General features: G+C 44.5%; 1 protein-coding gene and 1 long non-coding RNA gene across 11 annotated transcripts in view, besides 1 other annotated feature; one reads left to right on the forward strand and one right to left on the reverse strand.

The window, feature by feature from the left end:
- The window catches only part of OSCP1 (organic solute carrier partner 1), a 32,546-nt gene that overhangs the window by 11,698 nt on the left and 333 nt on the right, over window positions 1–20,515 (reverse strand). For 4 of the 9 annotated variants that reach the window (XM_005270462.2, NM_001330493.2, XM_047445744.1 and 1 more), the window contains exons 2-5: window positions 14,401–14,430; window positions 9,153–9,307; window positions 2,819–2,986; window positions 2,199–2,279 (exon numbers count right to left, since the gene is read on the reverse strand). In XM_005270462.2, the coding sequence (XP_005270519.1) occupies window positions 2,199–2,279; window positions 2,819–2,986; window positions 9,153–9,307; window positions 14,401–14,430 (434 nt within the window). Of the gene's footprint in view, window positions 1–2,198; window positions 2,280–2,818; window positions 2,987–9,152; window positions 9,308–14,400; window positions 14,431–18,209; window positions 18,285–20,515 lie in introns of all 9 variants that reach the window. The other 5 variants (NM_145047.5, XM_047445746.1, NM_206837.3 and 2 more) reach the window with 3 other exon arrangements.
- LOC107984940 (uncharacterized) lies at window positions 6,196–19,962 on the forward strand. 2 transcript variants are annotated; one of them, XR_001737976.2, is made up of 3 exons: window positions 6,262–6,350; window positions 14,998–15,130; window positions 19,855–19,962. It is a non-coding gene; the product is annotated as an uncharacterized LOC107984940 (long non-coding RNA). The 2 variants fall into 2 exon arrangements; XR_007065813.1 differs by lacking the exon at window positions 19,855–19,962 and having other exon boundaries at window positions 6,196–6,350; window positions 14,998–15,204.
- Window positions 16,765–17,059: an enhancer, noted in NCBI's record as "tiled region #11440; K562 Activating DNase unmatched - State 8:EnhW". NCBI's record gives its function as "activates a minimal TATA promoter and a strong SV40 promoter by Sharpr-MPRA in K562 cells {active_cell/tissue: K562}" and the evidence as "EXISTENCE:reporter gene assay evidence [ECO:0000049][PMID:27701403]".

Consider the following 20,515-nt stretch of genomic DNA (forward strand, 5'->3'; position numbering starts at 1 on the left):
ACCATGGCTCACTGCAGCCATCCTCCCATTTCAGCCTCCTAACTGGGACTATAGGCATGCGCCACCATGCCTGGCTAATTTTTGTTTTTGTAGAGATGGGGTTTTACCATGTTGCCGAGGCTTCAGAAATGTGTTTTTATTTTATTTTTATTTATTTATTTATTTTTTTGAGACAGGGTCTCAGCCCAGGCTGGAGCACAGTAGCATGATTTTTTTTTTTTTTTTGAGATGGAGTCTTGCTCTGTCGCCCAGGCTAGAGTGCAGTGGCACTAACTCAGCTCACTGCAACCTCTGCCTCTCAGGTTCACGCGATTCTCCTGCCTTAGTCTCCCGAGTAGCTGGGATTAAAGGCGCCTGGCTAATTTTTGTATTTTTAGTAGAGACGGGGTTTCACCATGTTGGCCAGGCTGGTCTCAAACTCCTGACCACGTGATCCACCCGCCTCGGCCTCCCAAAGTGCTGGGATTACAGGCGTGAGCCACTGCGCCCAGCCTAGTAGCATGATCTTGGCTCTCTGCAGCCTTGACCTCCTGGGCTCAAGTGATCCTCCTACCTCAGCCTCCCAAATATCTGGGAATACAGACACGCACCACCTTGCCCAGTTAATTTTGTATTTTTGGTAGAGATGGGGTTTGTCATGTTGCCCAGGCTGGTCTCAAACTCCTGGGCTCAAGTGATCCGTCCACCTTGGCCTCCCAAAGTGCTAGGATTACAGGCATGAGCCACTGTGCCTGGCTAGAAAATGTGTTTTTAAAAGTTAGGATGTAGAATTGCCTAGCTATGTAGGCAAGGCAGGAGGAGAGGGGCCCAGTTGGGAAGCATAGCCCACAAGAGTATGAGGGCCTGAGCCAGGATGGTGGCAACAGGGATGGAGAGGAAGGCGTGCCAGGGCATGGTGGCTCACACCTATAATCCTAGCACTTTGAGAGGCTGAGGGAGGAGGATCATTTGAGCCCAAAAGTTAGAGACCAGCCTGGGAAACATAGTAAGACACTGCCTCAAAAAAAAAGGAAAAGAGGGTGTAGATATTGACAAGGCCGACTCTATTTTTGTTTGTTTGTTTGTTTTTGAGACGGAGTCTCCCTCTGTCGCCCAAGCTGGAGTGCAGTGGTGCGATCCCGGCTCACTGTAACCTCCGCCTCCTGGGTTCAAGCAATTCTCCTGCCTCAGCCTCCTGAGTAGCTGGGACTACAGGTGCTTGCCACCATGCCCGGCTCACTTTTGTATTTTTAGTAGAGATGGGGTTTTACCATGTTGGCCAGGCTGGTCTCAAACTCCTGACCTCAGGTGATCTGCCCACCTTGTCCTCCCAATGTGCTGGGATTACAGGCGTGAGCCACTGCGCTCCGCCGACTCTATGGGTCTTAGAAGCAATTGGATGAAGATCAGGGAAGGGGAATCAAAGGTGACATTCTGGTTCTGAGTCAAGTGAGTAGGAGAATGGTGGTGGTGCCCTCAAAAGAAATGAGAAAGTCAGGGCAGCACCTGAACTGTGGAGATTAGTTTAGCTACAGACAGCAAGTTGTAGGCACTGGTGGGCATCCTGGTGGGAAGTTTCAGCAAGGTGGTGGAGATGTGAGTCTGGAGGGCAGGGGTGGGGCCAGGGTAGAGTAGAGGTTAGACTCAGGAGTCACAGGCAGAGGAGTTGGTAGACAAAAGGGTGAGGAAGGAGATGCCTAATTAGCAGGAGGTGGGTAGAGACAGGAGTAAGGTTTGGAGACAGATGGCGGGAGAGGAAGGAGTAAGAGGCATTGAGATGGGAGAGGGAAGGGAAGGGAAGCCCAGGATGGTACAGAGCCATGAAAGACCTGGAAAGGTGAGAGTTCCATGGAGGAGGGGCAGCCTTCTGACAGTGTCAGTACTGGAGAGGTCAAGGAGGATACAGCTCAACAAAAGGTTTTGCAGTTGAGATCAGGCTGTTGACTTGACAGCATATTTCCTCTGGAGAAGTAACAGAAGAAACTATATTTCCAAGAAACTCACAAGGTAATCAAAAAAGAATGGCAGCATCACTGTCTTCCTTGGTCCATTTAAAAACTGCTGAGATGTATTATCAATATCTTTATCATTAGAGAGGCAAACCCTGAGGACATCACTAACTGGGCAAAATCTCCGTCCTTGTTTGCCCTCATGACTACCAGGGTTGTTTCCCTGGTACAGCAGCTCCTGAGTGTTCCCAGGGCTGCCTATTGACTTACTCGGATGTGCAGGTCTTGGAAGAAGATGAGGAGTGTCTGCCGGATCAGCTGGAACTCCCCTGCAGAGAGACCACCATATATCTGCCAAAGGCAAGCAGAAAGCAGCACTTCACTTTCCAAGAGGGATGAGTAGTACGCACCGGCAGGGCAGATGGGTACTCAGGGATGGGAGCCAGATAGGTAAGGAGAGGACTGGGCTGCTGGGCAGGAGGGGCAGCGGGGAGACCAGCAGTGCTGCCTCTCCACGGTGACAAAGCCTGTTACCCCACACCTGAGCAGGGGTACACTTCCTGTCTCCCATTCTCCACAGACCTGGAGAGCCTGTTCCCCAAGATTTAGCAGAACATCCACCACCAAGTCCCTTTCCGAAAAGTGAGGAGAAAATGGCTATGCTCTGTATATTGCTTTTCCAATTGTGAAGGCATCAGTAAGAGGACATAAGATGATGATGCCTGTTACATTACCAAAATGGACACGGATTGCTTTTCAGAATGTTCTGGGAGAGTGGCAGGCTTTGCCATTCCTCATCCTGTTCTCTCTGTCATAGATCTACCTGTTCTTAACAGAGGGATGAGAAAAAGTACTGGGGCTGAGAGGCGAGACACTGATGGCACTCTTACTTCTGTCAGCTGCCGCAAAGTCTCGTCCACTTGCTGCAGGATGGTTGGGGAGTCTCGGATGAATCCCTTGATGGTATCCAAGTGATTGAAAGTGACCAGCAGCACATCCTTGGGTCGGGGACACAGCAATACTTGATATTTGAAAGCCATGGTCATCAGGTCATAGAGCTGCCAACCCACACACAAGCAAAAGAAATGGGATCATATCAAAATCAGGTGTGAGAATCTCCAAACAGTGATTCAGTCAAGCATTTACTGAAAACCAACTCTGGGCTTGCCATACAGCTCGGGGGACCATATCACTTATCACCCAAACCAAGACACTTCTGAGAGTCAAGGCGGGTGCTTTTAATAATTAAGCCAGGAAAACAGGAGTAAGCCAGCACATTCCTGGGCAAACCAGGATTTCTGGTCACCTGATGTGTATTGTTAATGGGATACGTCTGAAATAATATTGGCAGCAGCGGAGTCCCAAAGTGAGCACTGGATCTGGAGAAAGAAAATGCAAATTTAAGTACTCCTTTCCTCCTAACTTATTGTATAACCTTGGCCAAGTTTCTTAACCTCTTTGGGCCTGAGTTTTCTCATCTGTAAAAAAATACTCTCTAATTTCCCAATGTTGCAGAGGTGCTGAGAGCAATAAATGAGGCAATATGTGTGCAAGTGGCAAGCATAGAGTTCTACAACTTTATAAGAATCATTTTAAATGATGAACTATGTGGATATCAACAAGCCATCTCCACATAGGTGTGGTATGACCATACATGAAAGATCAGAAGGGAGGAACTGGTGGGGACCAAAGTGGTGAAGGCAGGCTTTGTGGTACAAGTGGCCTTATATAGCCCTCGAGGCAGCTGCAGGATTTAAATTGGCTGAGGGCAGAGGAAAGACATTCCAGTTGAGGGAAACAGTACATGTGAGGGCCTGGAGGCAGCAATGAGTATGTTATTTTTCTGGGAGAAAGAGGAGAATGGCCTGAGGACAGTTTGTGTTGGGGATGGCAGGTAATAAAGCTGGGTAAGTATGGCAAATGAAGATGGCAACAATAGAAACTGGGGACTGCAAGAATGGGGAGGGAGGGAGGGAGGTAGGGGTCAAGGGCTGAAAAACTAACTATTGGGTACTATGCTGACTACCTGACTGATGGGCTCACTTGTACCCCAGACCTCAGGATCACGCAATATACCCATGTAACAAACCTGTGCATGTACCTCCTGAATATAAAATAAAAGCTGAATTATTAAAAATAGAATAAAGTTTTTGGGGAGATACACAATATAATTTAGACTAGATGTAGTAGAAGTTAGGGGGTTAAAGTTTTCTGGGCTGACATGATCAAAGTGGTGACTGAACGAGATCTGGCAATGATGAGCTGTGACAGAAGGGAGAGACTAGTTAGGGGGAGTAGCTAGCACCTGGTTCCTGAAAAGATTACAATAAATATCTACTGATTGCATGAATGAAAGAAATGTTGTTGGAGCAATCCAGACTTAAGGCCTGGAAAAAAGATAGTGGGAACGGAGAAGTCAGGGAAAGGAAGATCACGCGATATTTAGAAGGAAAAGCTGTCAGTAGGTGGTGACTGCCTAGATTTGGGGGATGATGATCAGGGTTGTCCAGAAGGACTGCACCTTTTCAGCCTAGTGCGGGTGGGGAGGGATGATGCTATTGATGGAGGAAAAGACGTCTGAGGGATGTGGGAGCGGAAGAGCCAGGAGAGAAGATGGACGGTTAACTTAAGGACATGTCTGGGGCAGGATTGAAACGATAAACAACTACCATCTGAGTGTCATGCCAAGCACGTGTATATATATTACCTCATTTGATCCCATTTATTCTTCACAAGAACTCTATGAGGTAGGTATTAGCCCAGTTTAATAATGAGGAAACTTGCCTAATTTCATATTGCTGGTAAGTGCAGAATGATATTTGACCTCAAGACTATCAGATTCTAAGGCACTTGCCAGGACCCTGCTACACAATCCCATTTCTCCTACCTGCAGCCAAACATTTCCACTTAGAAGGTGGCATACAACCAGAATAGCTAGCCAGATGCAGTGGCTCACGCCTGTTATCCCAGCACTTTGGGAGGCCGAGGTGGGTGGATCACCTGAGGTCAGGAGTTCGAGACCAGCCTGGCCAACATGTTGAAACCCCATCTCTACTAAAAATACAAAAATTAGCCGGGTGTGGTGGTGCGTGCCTGTAATCTCAGCTACTCAGGAGGCTGAGACAGGAGAATTGCTTGAACCTGGGAGGCAGAGGTTGCAGTGAGCCGAGTTAGTGCCACTGCACTCTAGCCTGGGTGACAGAGTGAGACTTTGTCTCAAAAAAAAAAAAAAAAAAAAAAGAAATTAAAACAAGCCCCAGAAAACAGGAATAGCCTGGTGTGTGTGCATGGGGATTGGGAAAGTACAATACTGGAGATACAGATTTGAGACTCTGCCATCATTGTCAAACATTAAGTGCTCGTATATAGGAAACCATGCTAGAAATAAAGAATAAAAACAGGTATAAGATGAAGGAATGCCAGTTCAGAGTAATTCAGTAAATTGGGTCTCACAGCTAGTAACTGGTAGAGCTAAGGCTTAAACTCAGCTTTTTTAATTCTAAGTTCTGTGTCCTTCCTCTATGGAAATTTAAACTTCCTTTTCTTTTCTTTTCTTTTTCTTTTTTTTTTTTTTTTTTTTGACATGGGGGTCTCACTCTGTTACCCAGGCTGGAGTACAGTGGCGTGAACACAGCTCACTGAAGCCTCAACCTCCCCTGCTCAAGCTATCCTCCTGTCTCAGCCTCCTGAGTAGCTGGGACTACAGTTGTGTGCCACTGTGTGACCAGCTAGTTCTTCTAATTTTTAGTAGAGATGAGGTCTCACTATGGTTTTTTTTTTAATATGTTAAAAAATATTAGAGACGGGTTTTTGCTATGTTGCCCAGGCTGGTGTTGAACTCCCAGGCTCAAGTGATTCTTCCACCTGGGCCTCTCAAAGTGCTGGGATTACAGGTGTGAGCTACTGTGCTCAGTCTCTAAACTTTTTTAAAGGCAGAGAGAGAAGAGCAAGCAGAACTGAAAATATAATTAATATTTATTGAACAGCTATATGCCAGGCCTAGGTATGTTTCTCACTTAATTATCCTAATAATTGATGAAGTAGCATTTATTATCCTCATTTTACAGATGAGAAAATGAAGGCTCAGAGAGTTAAAGTAACTTTTTTTTTTTTGTTTTGAGACAGAGTTTTGCTCTTTTTGCCCAGGCTGGAGTGCAATGGCGCGATCTTGGCTCACTGCAACCTCTGCCTCCCGGGTTCAAGCAATTCTCCTGCCTCAGCCTCCCAAGTAGCTGGGATTACAGGCACTTGCCACCATGCCCAGCTAATTTTTTGTATTTTTAGTAGAGACGGGGTTTCACCATGTTGGCCAGGATGGTCTCGATCTCTTGACCTCGTGATCCGCCTGCCTCGGCCTCCCAAAGTCCTGGGATTACAGGCATGAGCCACCGCGCCTGGCCGAGTTAAAGTAACTTTCCAAAGGTAAGTGGCAAGAGGTAAGAGGGCCCAGTTAAAGGCAGTCTGTCTCCCTGAGTCTTCTAAGTACCAGTAATAAGTGAGTGCTGACTCTGCAAGTCTAACTCCCACCATCAGTCATCATGATTTTTAAAATTTTTCTTTCTCTCTCTCTCTATTTTTTTTTTTTTTTTTGAGATGGAGTCTTGCTCTGTCCCCCAGGCTGGAGTGCAGTGGCGTGATCTCAGCTCACTGCAAGCTCCGCCTCCCAGGTTCACGCCATTCTCCTGCCTCAGCCTCCCGAGTAGCTGGGACTACAGGCGCCCACCACCACACCGGGCTAATTTTTTTTTTTTTGTATTTTTAGTAGAGACGAGATTTCACCATGTTAGCCAGGATGGTCTCGATCTCTTGACCTCATGATCCACCCGCCTCAGCCTCCCAAAGTGCTGGGATTACAGGCGTGAGCCACCGCGCCCGGCCCTCTCTATTTTTTTAGAGACAGGGTCTTGCTATGTTGCCAAGGCTGGTCTTGAACTCCTGGGCTCAAGCGATCCTCCTGCCTTGGCCTCCCTAAGTGCTGGGATTACAGGCATACGCCATTACACCTGGTCTTTTAAAATTTTTTTGTAGAGATTTGGTCTTGCTGTGTTGCCCAAGCTGGTGTTGAACTCCTGGCCTCAATCCCAAAGCACTGATATTAGAGCTGCAAGACACTGTGCCTGGTAGTCCTCTTTCACATGGTGGGAGAAGTTGTAAAGGAATTATTATTATATTTTACATTAACTAAAGACCAAACTTTAAAGATTTCATTAGTTTCCCCCTGACATCCTATTTCTGTTCTGAAATCCCATCCAGGACACCACATTCTATTCTGCTGTCCTGTGTCCTTGGGCTCCTCTTGGCTGGACAGTTTCTCTGACTCTCCTTGACTTTGGTGACCTTGATAGTTTTGAGTACTGGTCAGGTATTTTGTAAGCATGACCAACCAACAGTATTTGTGTGATGTTTTTCTTATGGTTAGCCTGGGGTTTGGAGTTTTGGGGAGGAAGACCACAGAGGTGAAGTTCCATTTTCATCACATCATGTCAGGGTACATACTGGCAACCTGACTCATCACTGTTGATGTTACCTTGACCATCCGGTTGGGGTAGTTTATCAAGTTTCTCTACTGTAAAGCTAATTATTTCTTCCCTCCTTTCCATACTGTACTCTTTAAAGTGCAGCCCCCACCTAAGGAGGGGGAGTTACACTCTCCCTCCCTGAGGGCAGAGTATCTACATAAATCATTTGGAATTCTTCTAAACAGACTTGTCTGTCCTCTGCCATTTATTTATGTGGAATTATTATTATTATTATTATCATTATTATTCAGAGGTAGATATATTCTTGAAGGAATTATTATTTAAAAAATCACAGCATCCCAATACTTTGTTTCCCAAAGAAATAGATATGTTCACATTATGAGTAAAGACTGTTTTTGAACTTGCTCTAAAAAATATCTGGTTTCTACATTGCAGAGCTGAGATTTGTGAAGAATGAGGCAGAATTAAAGTTTTGGGGTTGAGTGCTTTTTAAAAATTGTTTATTTATTTTACTTATTTATTTTTGAGATGAAGTCCTACTCTGTCGCCCAGGCTGGGGTGTAGTGGTGTGATCTCATCTCACTGCAACCTCCGCCTCCTGGGTTCAAGTGATTCTCCTGCCTCAGCCTCCTGAGTAGCTGGGATTACAGGTGCATGCCACCACACCCAGCTAATATTTGTAATTTTAGAAGAGATGAGGTTTTACCATGTTGGCCAGACTGGTCTCGAACTCCTGACATCAAGTGATCCGCCTGTCTCGGCCTCCCAGTGCTAGGATTACAGGTGTGAGCCACCATGCCCACTCAGGGTTGAGTGCTTTTATTGTGTTAAGGCATGTATTCCTGGGGTTCATAAATATGGGCATGAAAGCCAGCACTCTTGTCTGGGTGCAGTGGCCCACACCTGTAATCCTAGCACTTTGGGAGACTGAGGCAGGAAGATCACTTGAGCCCAGGAGTTCCAGACCAGCCTCGGCAACAAAGTGAGACCCCATTTCTACAAAAATTTAAAAATTAGCCAGTGTGGCCAGGCGCGGTGGCTCATGCCAGTAATCCCAGCACTTTGGGAGGCCAAGGCGGGTGGATCACCTGAGGTTGGGAGTTTGCAACCAGCCTGACCAACATGGAGAAAACCTGTCTTTACTAAAAATACAAAATTAGCCTGGCATGGTGGCGCATGCCTGTAATCCCAGCTACTTGAGAGGCTGAGGCAGGAGAATCGCTTGAACCCGGGAGGCGGACGTTGTGGTGAGCCGAGATCACGCCATTGCACTCCAGCCTGGGCAACAAGAGCGAAACTCCATCTCAAAAAAAAAAAAAAAAAAAAAAAATTAGCCAGTGTGATGGCATGTGCCTGTAGTCCCAGCTACTTGGGAGTCTGAGGCAGGAGAATTGCTCAAGCCTGGGAGATCAAGGCCGCAGTGAGCTATGATTGTACCACTGCACTCCAGCCTGGACAACAGAGTGAGACCCCATTTCAAAAACAAAAAAACACCCAAAACAAATCAAACAAATAAAACCCAGCACTCTCTTTGGGCAGGTGGAATGTCATAAACAACAGAGGGGTTGTTGTGGATGATTTCTGAGGTCTTTCCCACTCTGAAACTCAACAACTACTAGTATTTACACATGCCTGTTTCTTGCAAGGACCATTGCATACATCATCTCATGTGACCCCAGTCTATGATCATCCACAAAAGGTACAAAAAATGCAACCAAGATGACAAAGGCAGCTGTCTGCTCACCTTATCCATGCTGGCCTGGTTCAGTTTCATAATGGAGGCATGAGCCAGGCGCTCATAGACAGTCCTCAGGGCCTTCTTGGAGTAGAGCTCTTGAGGCTTGAATAATTCCTCCATAAACTTTCTATTGAACATGGTGGAGATGATGTCATTCAGAACTGCAGAGACAAGAGAGAACACAGCTGAGCAAAGTACTGAAGCAAGCCTATCCCGAAATGCTCTTTGTGTGCAGGTACAGGAGCTGAGCGTGTACAGTACAGAATTGGGATGCTGTATGCTTGGTGAGATCAGCTCCCTGAGGGGACCACACAGGTGTCCCGGTAGAAAGCAGGGCTCTGAGAGTGCTTTATGACACCATTTCAGGGAAGACATAAATGAAGACAAGGCACTAATGTGTTGTGCTTCAGAGATTATAAACTCCTTATATAAATATTATCTCACTTGATGATAAGAGGAATATTTCTTCTTTCTTTAAAAAAGATTACTGGCTGGGTGTGGTGGCTCACGCCTATAATCCCAGCGCTTTGGGAGGCCAAGGCTGGAGGATCACTTGATGCCAGGAGTTTGAGACCAGCCTGGGCAACATAGTTAGACCCTGTCTCTACCAAAAATTGAAAGCAATTAGCTGGGTGTGGTGGCGGGCCTGGAAGCTGAGGCAGGAGGATCACTTGAGCCCAGGAATTCAATGCTGCAGTGAGCTCTGATTGTGCTACTGTACTCCAGCCTAGGCAACAGAAGGAGATCCTGTCTAAAAAAATAAAATAAAATAAAAATAAAAATTCCTATAATTTTTAAAACCAAATCTAAACATTTTTACTTAAAATTAAATATTATAAAAATGGGACCAACAATGGTAATTGACTCTTAATAATACCTCCTGAAAATAGACAAGTCTACCCACTGGTTAGAGATTAAAACACTTGTAATGTTGCTATAAGACATGTACTTTGAATAGCACCATTTTTGAATGCCTTAATTTCCACATTTGATCTATAATCTTGATACTACAGTGTAGTGCTATATCTCACACTGCTGTTCAAATGGAAAATTTCCCTCTGGTGAGAAAGAAGTGTACAAACTAAAGTGTCTATAGTTTTAGGTCTTCATTCATCTAGATATTTTGCACTACTGAAATGAAATATCACTAGTTAAGGGCCAAGAAAACCCTCAGGTATGAGAAATAGGAAGAGGTATGGTTGAACATAGATTATCCTTAATTAAACCAGTTATCCTCGCCTAAATGTGAGCATATGTGGATACTGAGAATATACACTTACAGAAATTCAAATTTGAAAGAAAACTGGGTTACTTAAAATAATTATACAAAATCACTTATTAAACATGAGTGGTTATTATTGAAATATAGAAATTCCTTCTTCTTTTGCTGAACACAAAGGACACTCCAGATGACTGCCTGTGGCCATGTCTCTTTAGAGCAGAGGCAAGGTAGAGCAGTGAAGTGATTATTTTAGGCACTCTCAACCTGTAAGTAATTGACAGAAGTACCCGGAGGGCTCAGGCCCGCATTTTAAAGCATTTCAACACATTTTATGGGGGAAGGGGGAGCTGAGGGCTGGTTGTACTTAAATCTTAAATGGAAGAGCTACAGAGAGAGGGGAGAGGGGATACATCCCCAACACACACACCCCCGGTGACACAAATGAACTGACTGTGGCTCCATACAGAAATGCTAAACTCACACTTGACCTTTAGATTTTACACTAGACTTGATCCTATTACTCAGTGAGGGAGAACCAAATCCATTACCAACACAGGATGTCCCTGACATCTGACAATTTCAAACCATCCCAGCTTGCCCTTGATGTGCCCTAACATTTCCCCACCGTGGACAGCTTGGAGAGACATAGAACTCTGTCAGGTTTGCCTCATGCCTGACCACCTCCATTGCACTGAAACAAGAAAGAACCTGCAATAAACTGGGTTTTCTAACCTTTTTCTTACCATAGCCTACATAAAATGTAGCATTTGCAAGGAAACAGGCACAATTGAAAAGCCACACATAAGTCCTCAAAAGAGAGAATATGAAGAATTTTCCACAGACTTACGTAAGCCAGGGAGGAGGAGTGCCAAAGAAGAATTCAAGTTGAAGCATCACATCAACTCTGGTTAGGTTAATGCTTACAAAGGGCTGCTATTCACCTAGGTGCTGAGTCATTTCTCTGGGGTCTTTGAGCCCTTATTAGGAGCTAGGGAAATAGCTTACACCCAGATAAATCAGTTCTGGACGAAAGAATACCCCAAGGTGATTGTTAGCTACTCGGGCAAAGTGAAAAGCAAAATGAAGTCTTTCCCCGTGGGAAGTGAAGAAGCTCTGGAGCACCATGGCTCCTGGCGCCAGCATCCAGACAGTTCACCTGCTGGGAAGAGGACGGCGGGGTCTGTCCTTGTGGGCAGAGCAGTGAGTACAAATGCCCCCAAAGAGGAAATGGCAGTTTAATGGTTGGGCCACGACACCTAGGGCTCCCTCTTCTCGTTTCACTCTTTGGAAATAAGATGGAGGCACACGTTAACATGTTTTTGTCTTACAATTTGCTTCACCCAGCCCTTGGTTGAGGCAGACCTATTAGGTACCAGACAGTGAAATAAACACCACAGGCACAAAGAGGAAGGAGATGTTATCCTGGCCCTAGAGAAGCAGCACATCATCTTTAGGTTAAACCTGAGAAATAGTTTTTTTAAAAAATTTAATTAGCGTACGGGCGCGGTGGCTCACGCCTGTAATCCCAGCACTTTGGGAGGCCGAGGCGGGCGGATCACGAAGTCAGGAGATCGAGACCATCCTGGCTAACGCTGTGAAACCCCGTCTCCACTAAAAAAAAATACAAAAAATTAGCCGGGCGTGATGGCGGGCGCCTGCAGTCCCAGCTACCGGGAGGCTGAGGCAGGAGAATGGCGTGAACCCGGGAGGCGGAGCTTGCGGTGAACCGAGATCGCGCCACTGAACTCCAGCCTGGGTAACAGAGCGAGACTCCAGCTCAAAAAAAAAAAAAAAAAAAAAAGTAATTTGTTTTTTATTTTTTTCCCTTCATCCTAACATCCCTGAAGAAATAGTTTTAATCAGACCCGCCCATTAGTCTAAGTGTTGGTTTTTGGCATGCAAATGAGTTCTGCATACTTTTCACGAGGCCGGAATATACTAGGAGCCGGATTTCAATAGGAAGAGGCTAAGGGGGGCCGGGCGCAGTGGCTCACGCCTGTAATCCCAGCAGTTTGGGAGGCCGAGGTGGGTGGATCACCTGAGGTCGGGAGTTCAAGACCAGCCTGACCAACATGGAGAAACCCCATCTCTACTAAAAATACAAAATTAGCCAGGCGTGGTGGCTCATGCCTGTAATCTCAGCTACTCAGGAGGCTGAGGCAGGAGAATTGCTTGAACCTGGGAGCGGAGGTTGTAGTGAGCTGGGATCGCTCCATTGCACTCCAGCCTGGGCAACAAGAGCGAAACTCCGTCTCAAAAAAAAAAAAAAGGAGGCTAAGGCAGGGGAGGGAAGGGATTTTTCACAGGAGCCTCAGAAAGTTGGTAATTGGGTTCTCAACATAGCAAGCTTCTAGTCCTGGGTTCAGATTATGAAGCCAGTTTCTGTTCATTATTTTTGAACATTTATGTTAAAATAAATTTCAATGATTCAATTATGTATATGAAAAGCTCTCAAAATCCACACTTCATACCTGAAATTCTGCTATGCATCAAGGGAGGGACGGGTCAAAAATTGCTCAAGAAGTGTCAAACGATGGTTGTGAAATGTAATAAAGTGTACCAAGTACTTCAATTGGGCTTTTTTTCGAGACTGGTCTGATGAAATAATTATCTTGATGAAAGCAATCAAGTTTTTACCAATTACCTCTGCTCTAAATTGACTTGTTTATGGGAATATGAAATTTGGAGCCAAGAATTTAGAGAGAGGCTAGGAAACCCTCCTGAATAGTTACCATGTTTCAATCCTTTCTATGTCCCAGGCACTGGGCTTAGAACTTTATATGCATTATCTCATTTAAACTCCAAGACAACTCTGAATTATTATCCTCATTTTTTTTTCCTGCCAGACCACTTATCGTTTTATATTATCCTCATTCTATTAAGGAGGAAAACTGAATCAGAGAGTTTAAAGTCCAAGGTCACACAGCTGGTGATGGAGCTGAAATTAGAATTAGGTCTGTTTGATTTAATGCCTGTGCTTTTAAATATTATTATTATTATTATTATTTTTGAAGTGGAGTCTCGCTCTGTCGCCCAGGCTGGAGTGCAGTGGCAAGATCTCGGCTCACTGCAACCTCTGCCTCCCAGGTTCAAGTGATTCTCCTGCCTCAGTCTCCCAAGTAGCTGGGATTATAAGTGCCCACCACCATGCCCAGGTAATTTTTGTATTTTTAGTAGAGACAGGGTTTCACCATGTTGGCCAGGCTGGCCTCGAACTCCTGACCTCAAGTGATCCTCCTGCCTCAGATTCCCAAAGTGCTGGGATTACAGGTGTGAGCCACTGCACCTGGCCTCTTAAATATTATACAGGTTGTCTTCCCAGCATACTTGGTGTGGTGAGAGCATTTAAAATATTGAGGAGGATGGCTGATGATAGGCACACACCACACCCAAATGTCAAATGACAGAAGGTATCTGAGATTTATTTAAAGGCTGAGAAAGTCTAAGGCTTTATTCTGAGGAGTCGACAACTTTTTCAGGTTTCCTGCTTGCAGTAGGTAAGGGGAAACTGAAGCTTTTGCATGATGAGGCCACACTGCATGCATGATGTCATGCCTTCTGCCCACAGTCCTGGCAGCCATGCAGTTACATGCTTCAATTTTTCTCGGTTGCTCTGTGAGCTTAGGAGAATGGCTCAGGGAGGGTCACTCATGTTGAAGCACAATTCTTTGGTTACATGACAAAACAAAGTTGTTTTAAGGACTACCAAATAGGATGACATACCCCAAAGTATGGCTATTGCCCCAGCTGTCCCAGCAAAGCTTGGAACTGAGAAAAGGAGACATATCCCTCAAGTACAGTGTGGCTTTTTGGTCAGAGTTTGCTTAGTTTTCATCTTAACATGCTGTATTTCTTCCTCTTAAGTAAAAGATTCAAATGTATAACCAATATCTCAGCTAAAGACAAACTCATGCCTATTTTCTTACTTTGACTTTGAAATGTTTCAAGCGGTCCCATTTTAAGCCCTGCTGATAAAGGCCTGAGTGAACCTGTGGATGCACACTGAACACATGCAGCCCGGAGATAGCATACCTCGTTTTCTGTCCACCTCTGTCCATTCATCTACATGAAGCATACAAAAAGAAAACACCAGTTCATGAAGCAAGAACATTATTTTCAAGGAGGCTTTAAACATACCAATTCCAATGATCTTATCTATGAAACTTTACTTTTCACGTTGGCATTTAATGTCTAATGTGAGCACACTGCCTTCTATTTGAAACCTTTAAAAGGATGATGGATAAACAACATATTTCAAAAAAGCTCAAGAAAGGCTATGTCTTACAGAGACTGGCCTAAGAAGAGAGTAAACTGAGGAGGATTAGCTATCCTGTGGTTCATCTTGAAAGGCCCAAGAAGCCCCGCTCTCTAATGCTACAAGAATACATATCATTCAGTAGTAGGCTTTTAAAGACGCTAGCCTCCATGAGGAAGAATAATTCCAAGAACAGGCAGAGAAAAGAGTTTCTTTGTATACAATCTGAGTTTTCTTTTCTTTTCTTTTTTTTTTATTAATGTAAGATTTCCCTTTCTAGAGGACAGATGGAACTGCTCAAATTAGAAAACTTGAAATGTGAATTAAAAGGAAAATGTCAGCATTTGTTTCTGTTTTACTTTTTATATATATAGATGCATGATTTCCATGTAAAAAGAAGCGAATAATGATGGGACCACTATGAAGAAAGCTTCTGAGGACAAAGGCAGCTGGGGAGATCCCAAGAGGAGACCAAATAAGGAAAAATGCAGTTGGCTAGAGAAATCGGTGAGAATCAAGACTCTATGGGTTGAAACCTGGCTCTACTTACTGGCTATATAAACTTCAAGCAACTTGTTTAACCTCAGTTTCCTTCGTAAAATAGGGATCATAATAGCACCTATCTTACAGGCCTATTGTGGGGATAAAGCATAACACACATCAAATACTTAGCTGGCTTCCCTTTGAGTTCTGTTTCCTCTACTGAGGGACATTAGACACCACCCATAAAGGATGGAAGATGACTTTTTTCCTTTCCTTAATTTTTGATGGAGATTTCAATCTAGAAGAACCACCCCTAGATAAAAAAGTTCTATACACATCTGTATTTCAAAAACATTTTGGCGAGGCACAGTGGCTCATGCCTGTAATCCCAGAACTTTGGGAGGCCAAGATGGGCGGATCACCTGAGGTCAGGAGTTCGAGACCAGCCTGGCCAACATGGTGAAACCTCATCTCTACAAAAAATACAAAAATTAGCTGGGTGTGGTGGTGCACACCTATAGTCTCAGCTACTTGGGAGGCTGAAGCAGGAGGATTGCTTGAACCCAGGAGGTGAAGGTTGCAGTGAGTGGAGACTACGCCACTGGGCGACAGAGCAACACTCCATCTCAAAAAACAAAAACAAACAAACAAAAACCCCAAAACCATTTTGTAATTAATAGTTTCTTTTGGAAACATTTGCCACTAGATTGTGGTATTAGGGGTGATTTCTGAAGTTATAATCAAAGTATACACATGGCTTCAATACATAATACCAAAAGCTCCCAAGAGAGCAGTCTGAAAGCATGGCCAGTGCCATGTCCTAACCGGCTGCAAAGGGTTTCCATTGCAAGATCACACTCCTCTGGGAAAATTCACCATCTTCCCCCATCAAGAGTCATGGGCTTTTGAAAAGAAAATATTGGGAAAGCAGCACCAAAAGTTTGGCAGATACTGTTTTCTTTGGCACAATGTCCACATCTATCTTTCTGTGGCATTTATTTATTTATTTATTTATTTATTTTTGAGACAGGGTCTTACTGTGTTGCCCAGGCTGGAGTGCAATGGTGCGATCTCGGCTCACTGCAACCTCCACTTCCCAGGTTCAAGCGATTCTCCCGCCTCAGCCTCCCGAGTAGCTGGGATTACAGGCACCTGCCATCATGCCGGCTAATTTTTTATTTTTAGTAGAGACGGGGTTTCTCCATGTTGGCCAGGCTGGTCTTGAACTCCTGACCTCAGGTGATCTGCCCACCTTGGCCTCCCAAAGTGCTGGGATTACAGGTGTGAGCCATCACACCCGGCCTGGCATTTATTTTTTATTTGTTTATTCTGAGAGGGAGACTTGCTTTGTCGCCCAGGCTAGAGTGCAGTGGCGTGATCTCAGCTCACTGCAACCTCTGCCTCCCGGGTTCAAGCGATTCTCCTGCCTCAGCCTCCTGAGTCGCTGGGATTACAGGCGCCTGCCACCACAACAGGGTAATTTTTGTATTTTTTGTAGAGATGGGTTTTCACCATGTTGGCCAGGCTGGTCTCGAACTCCTGACCTCAGGTGATCCACCCACCTCGGCGTCCCAAAATGCTGGGAATATAGGCGTGAGCCACTGCGCCCGGCCCCTGCAGCATTTATTTAACTGGTGGTATAGTGTGATAGACTTGTGGGAATTCAAGGAGGTGGAGTTTTAATCCCCTTGCAGGTGTGTTTGGGGAATAGTGGTGCTGCAAGGGGGTCATCTCTGAAGGACAGTGACTCTCGCTGATAAAATGGAACTGGCAGATGCTCCCGAAGGCAGGCAGGCTGAACGCCAGCAGGGGTCTCTGTAGTGCTGTGTGCTCCCCTACTCCTTTCCTCCTGAGAATACAGGGAAGAGAAACACCCTCTTTTTCTATTATTTCTCCAGATGACTTATTTGTGACAACTCCACTTTAGTTCTGTTTTGAGTGGGGGCAGGCCCAAGGCTATTCAGAGCTAGTCGTTAAACTGGAACTAGAAAAATAAAACCAGAGTCTCACTGCCCTTTGGTTGCTTGTGCTACACTGTGATTGGCATGTCTTGGAAAAATCACTTTGTGGCCACATGCCTCAGTTTCCTCTCCTGTAAAATGAGGAATGTAAGCAAAAGATAATAAGGTCTTATTTATAAATATTTTTAAGAGGCAAAGGTAGCTTTTATTATTCTCGCCATTGCTTTAAACAGGAGACAACATTCAATATGCAACACTCGATAGTTGCCTCATAGAGAGAGCACTTCCTTTCTGTTGAATGCTAAACTAGAGGCTGCGTTGTGGGGGAAGCTGCAACATCTGCCTTGGCCTTGTGGGAACAGGGATGGCCTCCAGGAGACCAATTAGTCGTATAAGATAATGAAAACATCTAGAAGAAATATGATTTCCACTCAAAGCTTCGAAGAGGACTAGTTTACCAAGTCTAGTGTTTTATAGGCTCCTGTGTACAGGGATCTGTTACAGGGGCTCTCGCTCCTGTGGCCACAACAACTTTAAATGGTGGAATAGGTGGAAGACATGAGTATTTCTCAGCCCGTTGAATCCTATGCTCTCTACCCTGTTTTCTCACTCTATCTTCTACAGATCTCCAACAGCCAACTATTTTGTCATTTATTTGATAAAATCAGTGGGTATATTGGATATATATTTTTCAGACTCCTCCCTCTCCTCCTGACCTACCAACCCCCACTAAGATTCTGATATAGTCCCCAAGGTATGGCAGCAGAGTATAGTGGTTATAGTAAGGGGACTAAGTGGTTATAGTAAGGGGACATTGGCTGAGTATGAGGACATTGGTTATATGAGGGGACATTGGTTATAGTAAGGGGACATTGGCTGAGTATGAACTTTGGAGCCTGATGCCTTGGGCTCAAATCCTTTACTTTTCCTCCTACCAGCCATGTAACTCTGGGCAAATTAGTCTTAGTTTCTCCATCTGTAAAATGGGGATAGTAATATTACCTATGTGTTACAATAGTTGGGAGGATTAAGGTGTTTAAGAGGAGCCCTTGGTACAAAGTAAGTGCTTGATTTTTCATTGTTTTATTGTTGATTGCTGTCACTAGAATCAGTTACTGGAGTGGACTGATCAATAGCCCTACCTCCAGTGAATGTCCAGAAGGGCTGCATCAGGCTCCATATAGTATCTCACATAGTGTTTGACACTCAGTCAAAATCTGTGGAATGAATGAGTGTGCGAATGTAAATTACTAAAGATGGCCGAAACTCCCAAAACCATATTTAGCAAAAGCAGAAAAAAGGCTATAACTCCTAAAGGTAAAGCTGTCCTCTAGTATTCCAAGGGCCTTGTCCAGACCTCCTCTTGAAAGATACCTATTACTCATTGTGTTAAACATATTAAATACATTATTTCATTCAATCCTTACAACTTTGCTTTAACATATATGTATTATTACCATTTTATGGAGAAACAGGTTTATAGAGGTTACACCCAAAGGGCATGCAATTAGTTAAATGGTAAAGCTGGAATTGGGATCCAGGTCTGTAAGACTCTAGAGAGTATGTTCTTAATTGCTAATTTACACTATCTTCCAAGATGCAGACTACCTACCAGTCTGAGGACTCCAGCATGTCACCTCATTGGTGCCACTAGCCTGAATGAAATCAGATCACACAGGCACCAAGGAAAACAGAACCCTCTCAAAGGAAAAATGACAATGCTATATAAAACTGCCAATTTAGATAATCAGTTCAAAAAACATTTTGTGATCACTAATTTATTCTGGTCTAGGAATTATGGTAGGTGCTGGAGTACAAAGATGAATAAGACAATCAAGCGGGAGATAGACATATACACAGATCATTTCAGTATAGCATGGCCAGTGGTAAGGTACTGAGGAGCAGGCATGGGGTGCTATGGGAGCACAGGCTGCTATGAGAGCATGCACAGGCCCTTTCTGCATATGGGGAGGATTCCTGAAGGAGATGATTCTTAAGCCGAATAATGCAGGATTGAAGGGGAAGAATGTAGGGATGGGAATTACTAGCACAGAAATACGAACAAACATGGTTTAAGCGGAGATCTATGAGCAGTTTGGTATTATTGGGAAACAGGAGGCAGGCAGTGGTGGAAGAAGGGACTGCAGAGGAAGACAGAGATCAGATAAGGAAGGGCCCTGAAATGGCCTGTGCAAGGACTTGGTCTTAACCCAGATGGCAGTGGAAAGCTGACAAAGGGTTTTAGGCAGGGGCAAGTTTGGACAGATACACATTTTAGAAAGCTCATTGGCGGCAATGTGCAGAATGAATGGAGGGGGTATGTTATAGGGAGTTATTTTTAGCTCTTTATGCATGGACTTGCACTCAGTCACACACACACAATAGTTAATATCTGAATATGTATGCTTAGCATCTGAATATGTATGTTGAACATCAATTGAGCATACAAAGATTAATGGAGAGAATGTTTTAATTGGCGGCCATGTCAATTGCCTTTTCAACTTTTCCTCCTCCACTTTGAAATATAATATTTCCTTCATACTTAATCCTAGGAAATTTGGTATAAGCAAGTTGTTTGCCGAGAAGGGAGGAAAAGAGGAAAAGGAACAGAGTGGCAGAGTGTTCTGAGTCGTCATTTTTCTGGGGATTAGTGTGGTGTCCATGGGAGGCAGATTTTGCATTTTCGAAGCTCTCATATAATTATTTTCACAATTGTATTCCCCTCCAACACTTGTGAGGAGATTTATAACTTTCTTATTTTTTTCATATTTATCTATATTATTTTAGAACACCAAATTTCTAGAAATACTTCTGAGATGAGTAAGACCAATCTCCAGCTTATGTGGGAAGATACTACCATAAAGAAATTAAGAATCTGAACCTGGGCTGGACGCGGTGGCTCACGCCTATAATCCCAGCACTTTGGGAGGCCGAGGGGGGCAGATCGTTTGAGTCCAGGAATTGAAGACCAGCCTGGGAAACATGGTGAAACCCCATCTCTACTAAAAATACAAAAATTAGCTGGGTGTGGTGGTGCATGCCTGTAATCCCAGCTACTTGGGAGGCTGAGGCACGAGAATCGCTGGAACCCAGGAGGCAGAGGTTGCAGTGAGCCGAGATCGTGCCACACACTCCAGCCTGGGCGACAGAGCGAGACCCTGTCTCAAAAAAAAAAAAAAAAAAAAAAAAAAAAAAAAATCAGAACCTGTTCCTTGGGGGTAAAGAGGATGCTTGGACTAGCAAGGGGTATGATACTAGATGGTGGGCAGCTGGGACTCCTACATTTGGAAGGCACTGATTGACAAGAGAGACTGGGAAATCACCTCTCCCATTTGAAGAGATGGGGAAATTAGGGAGGTCAGGCACCCTAGTGTCCACTGGGAGTATTAAGTTCCTCTGCTGTGAAAAAAGCTTTTGGGGGGATTTGACTCCCGAGGGGCTCCAAATG

This window comes from Homo sapiens, chromosome 1 (assembly GCF_000001405.40).
Source record: "Homo sapiens chromosome 1, GRCh38.p14 Primary Assembly".
Lineage (NCBI taxonomy): Eukaryota > Metazoa > Chordata > Mammalia > Primates > Hominidae > Homo > Homo sapiens.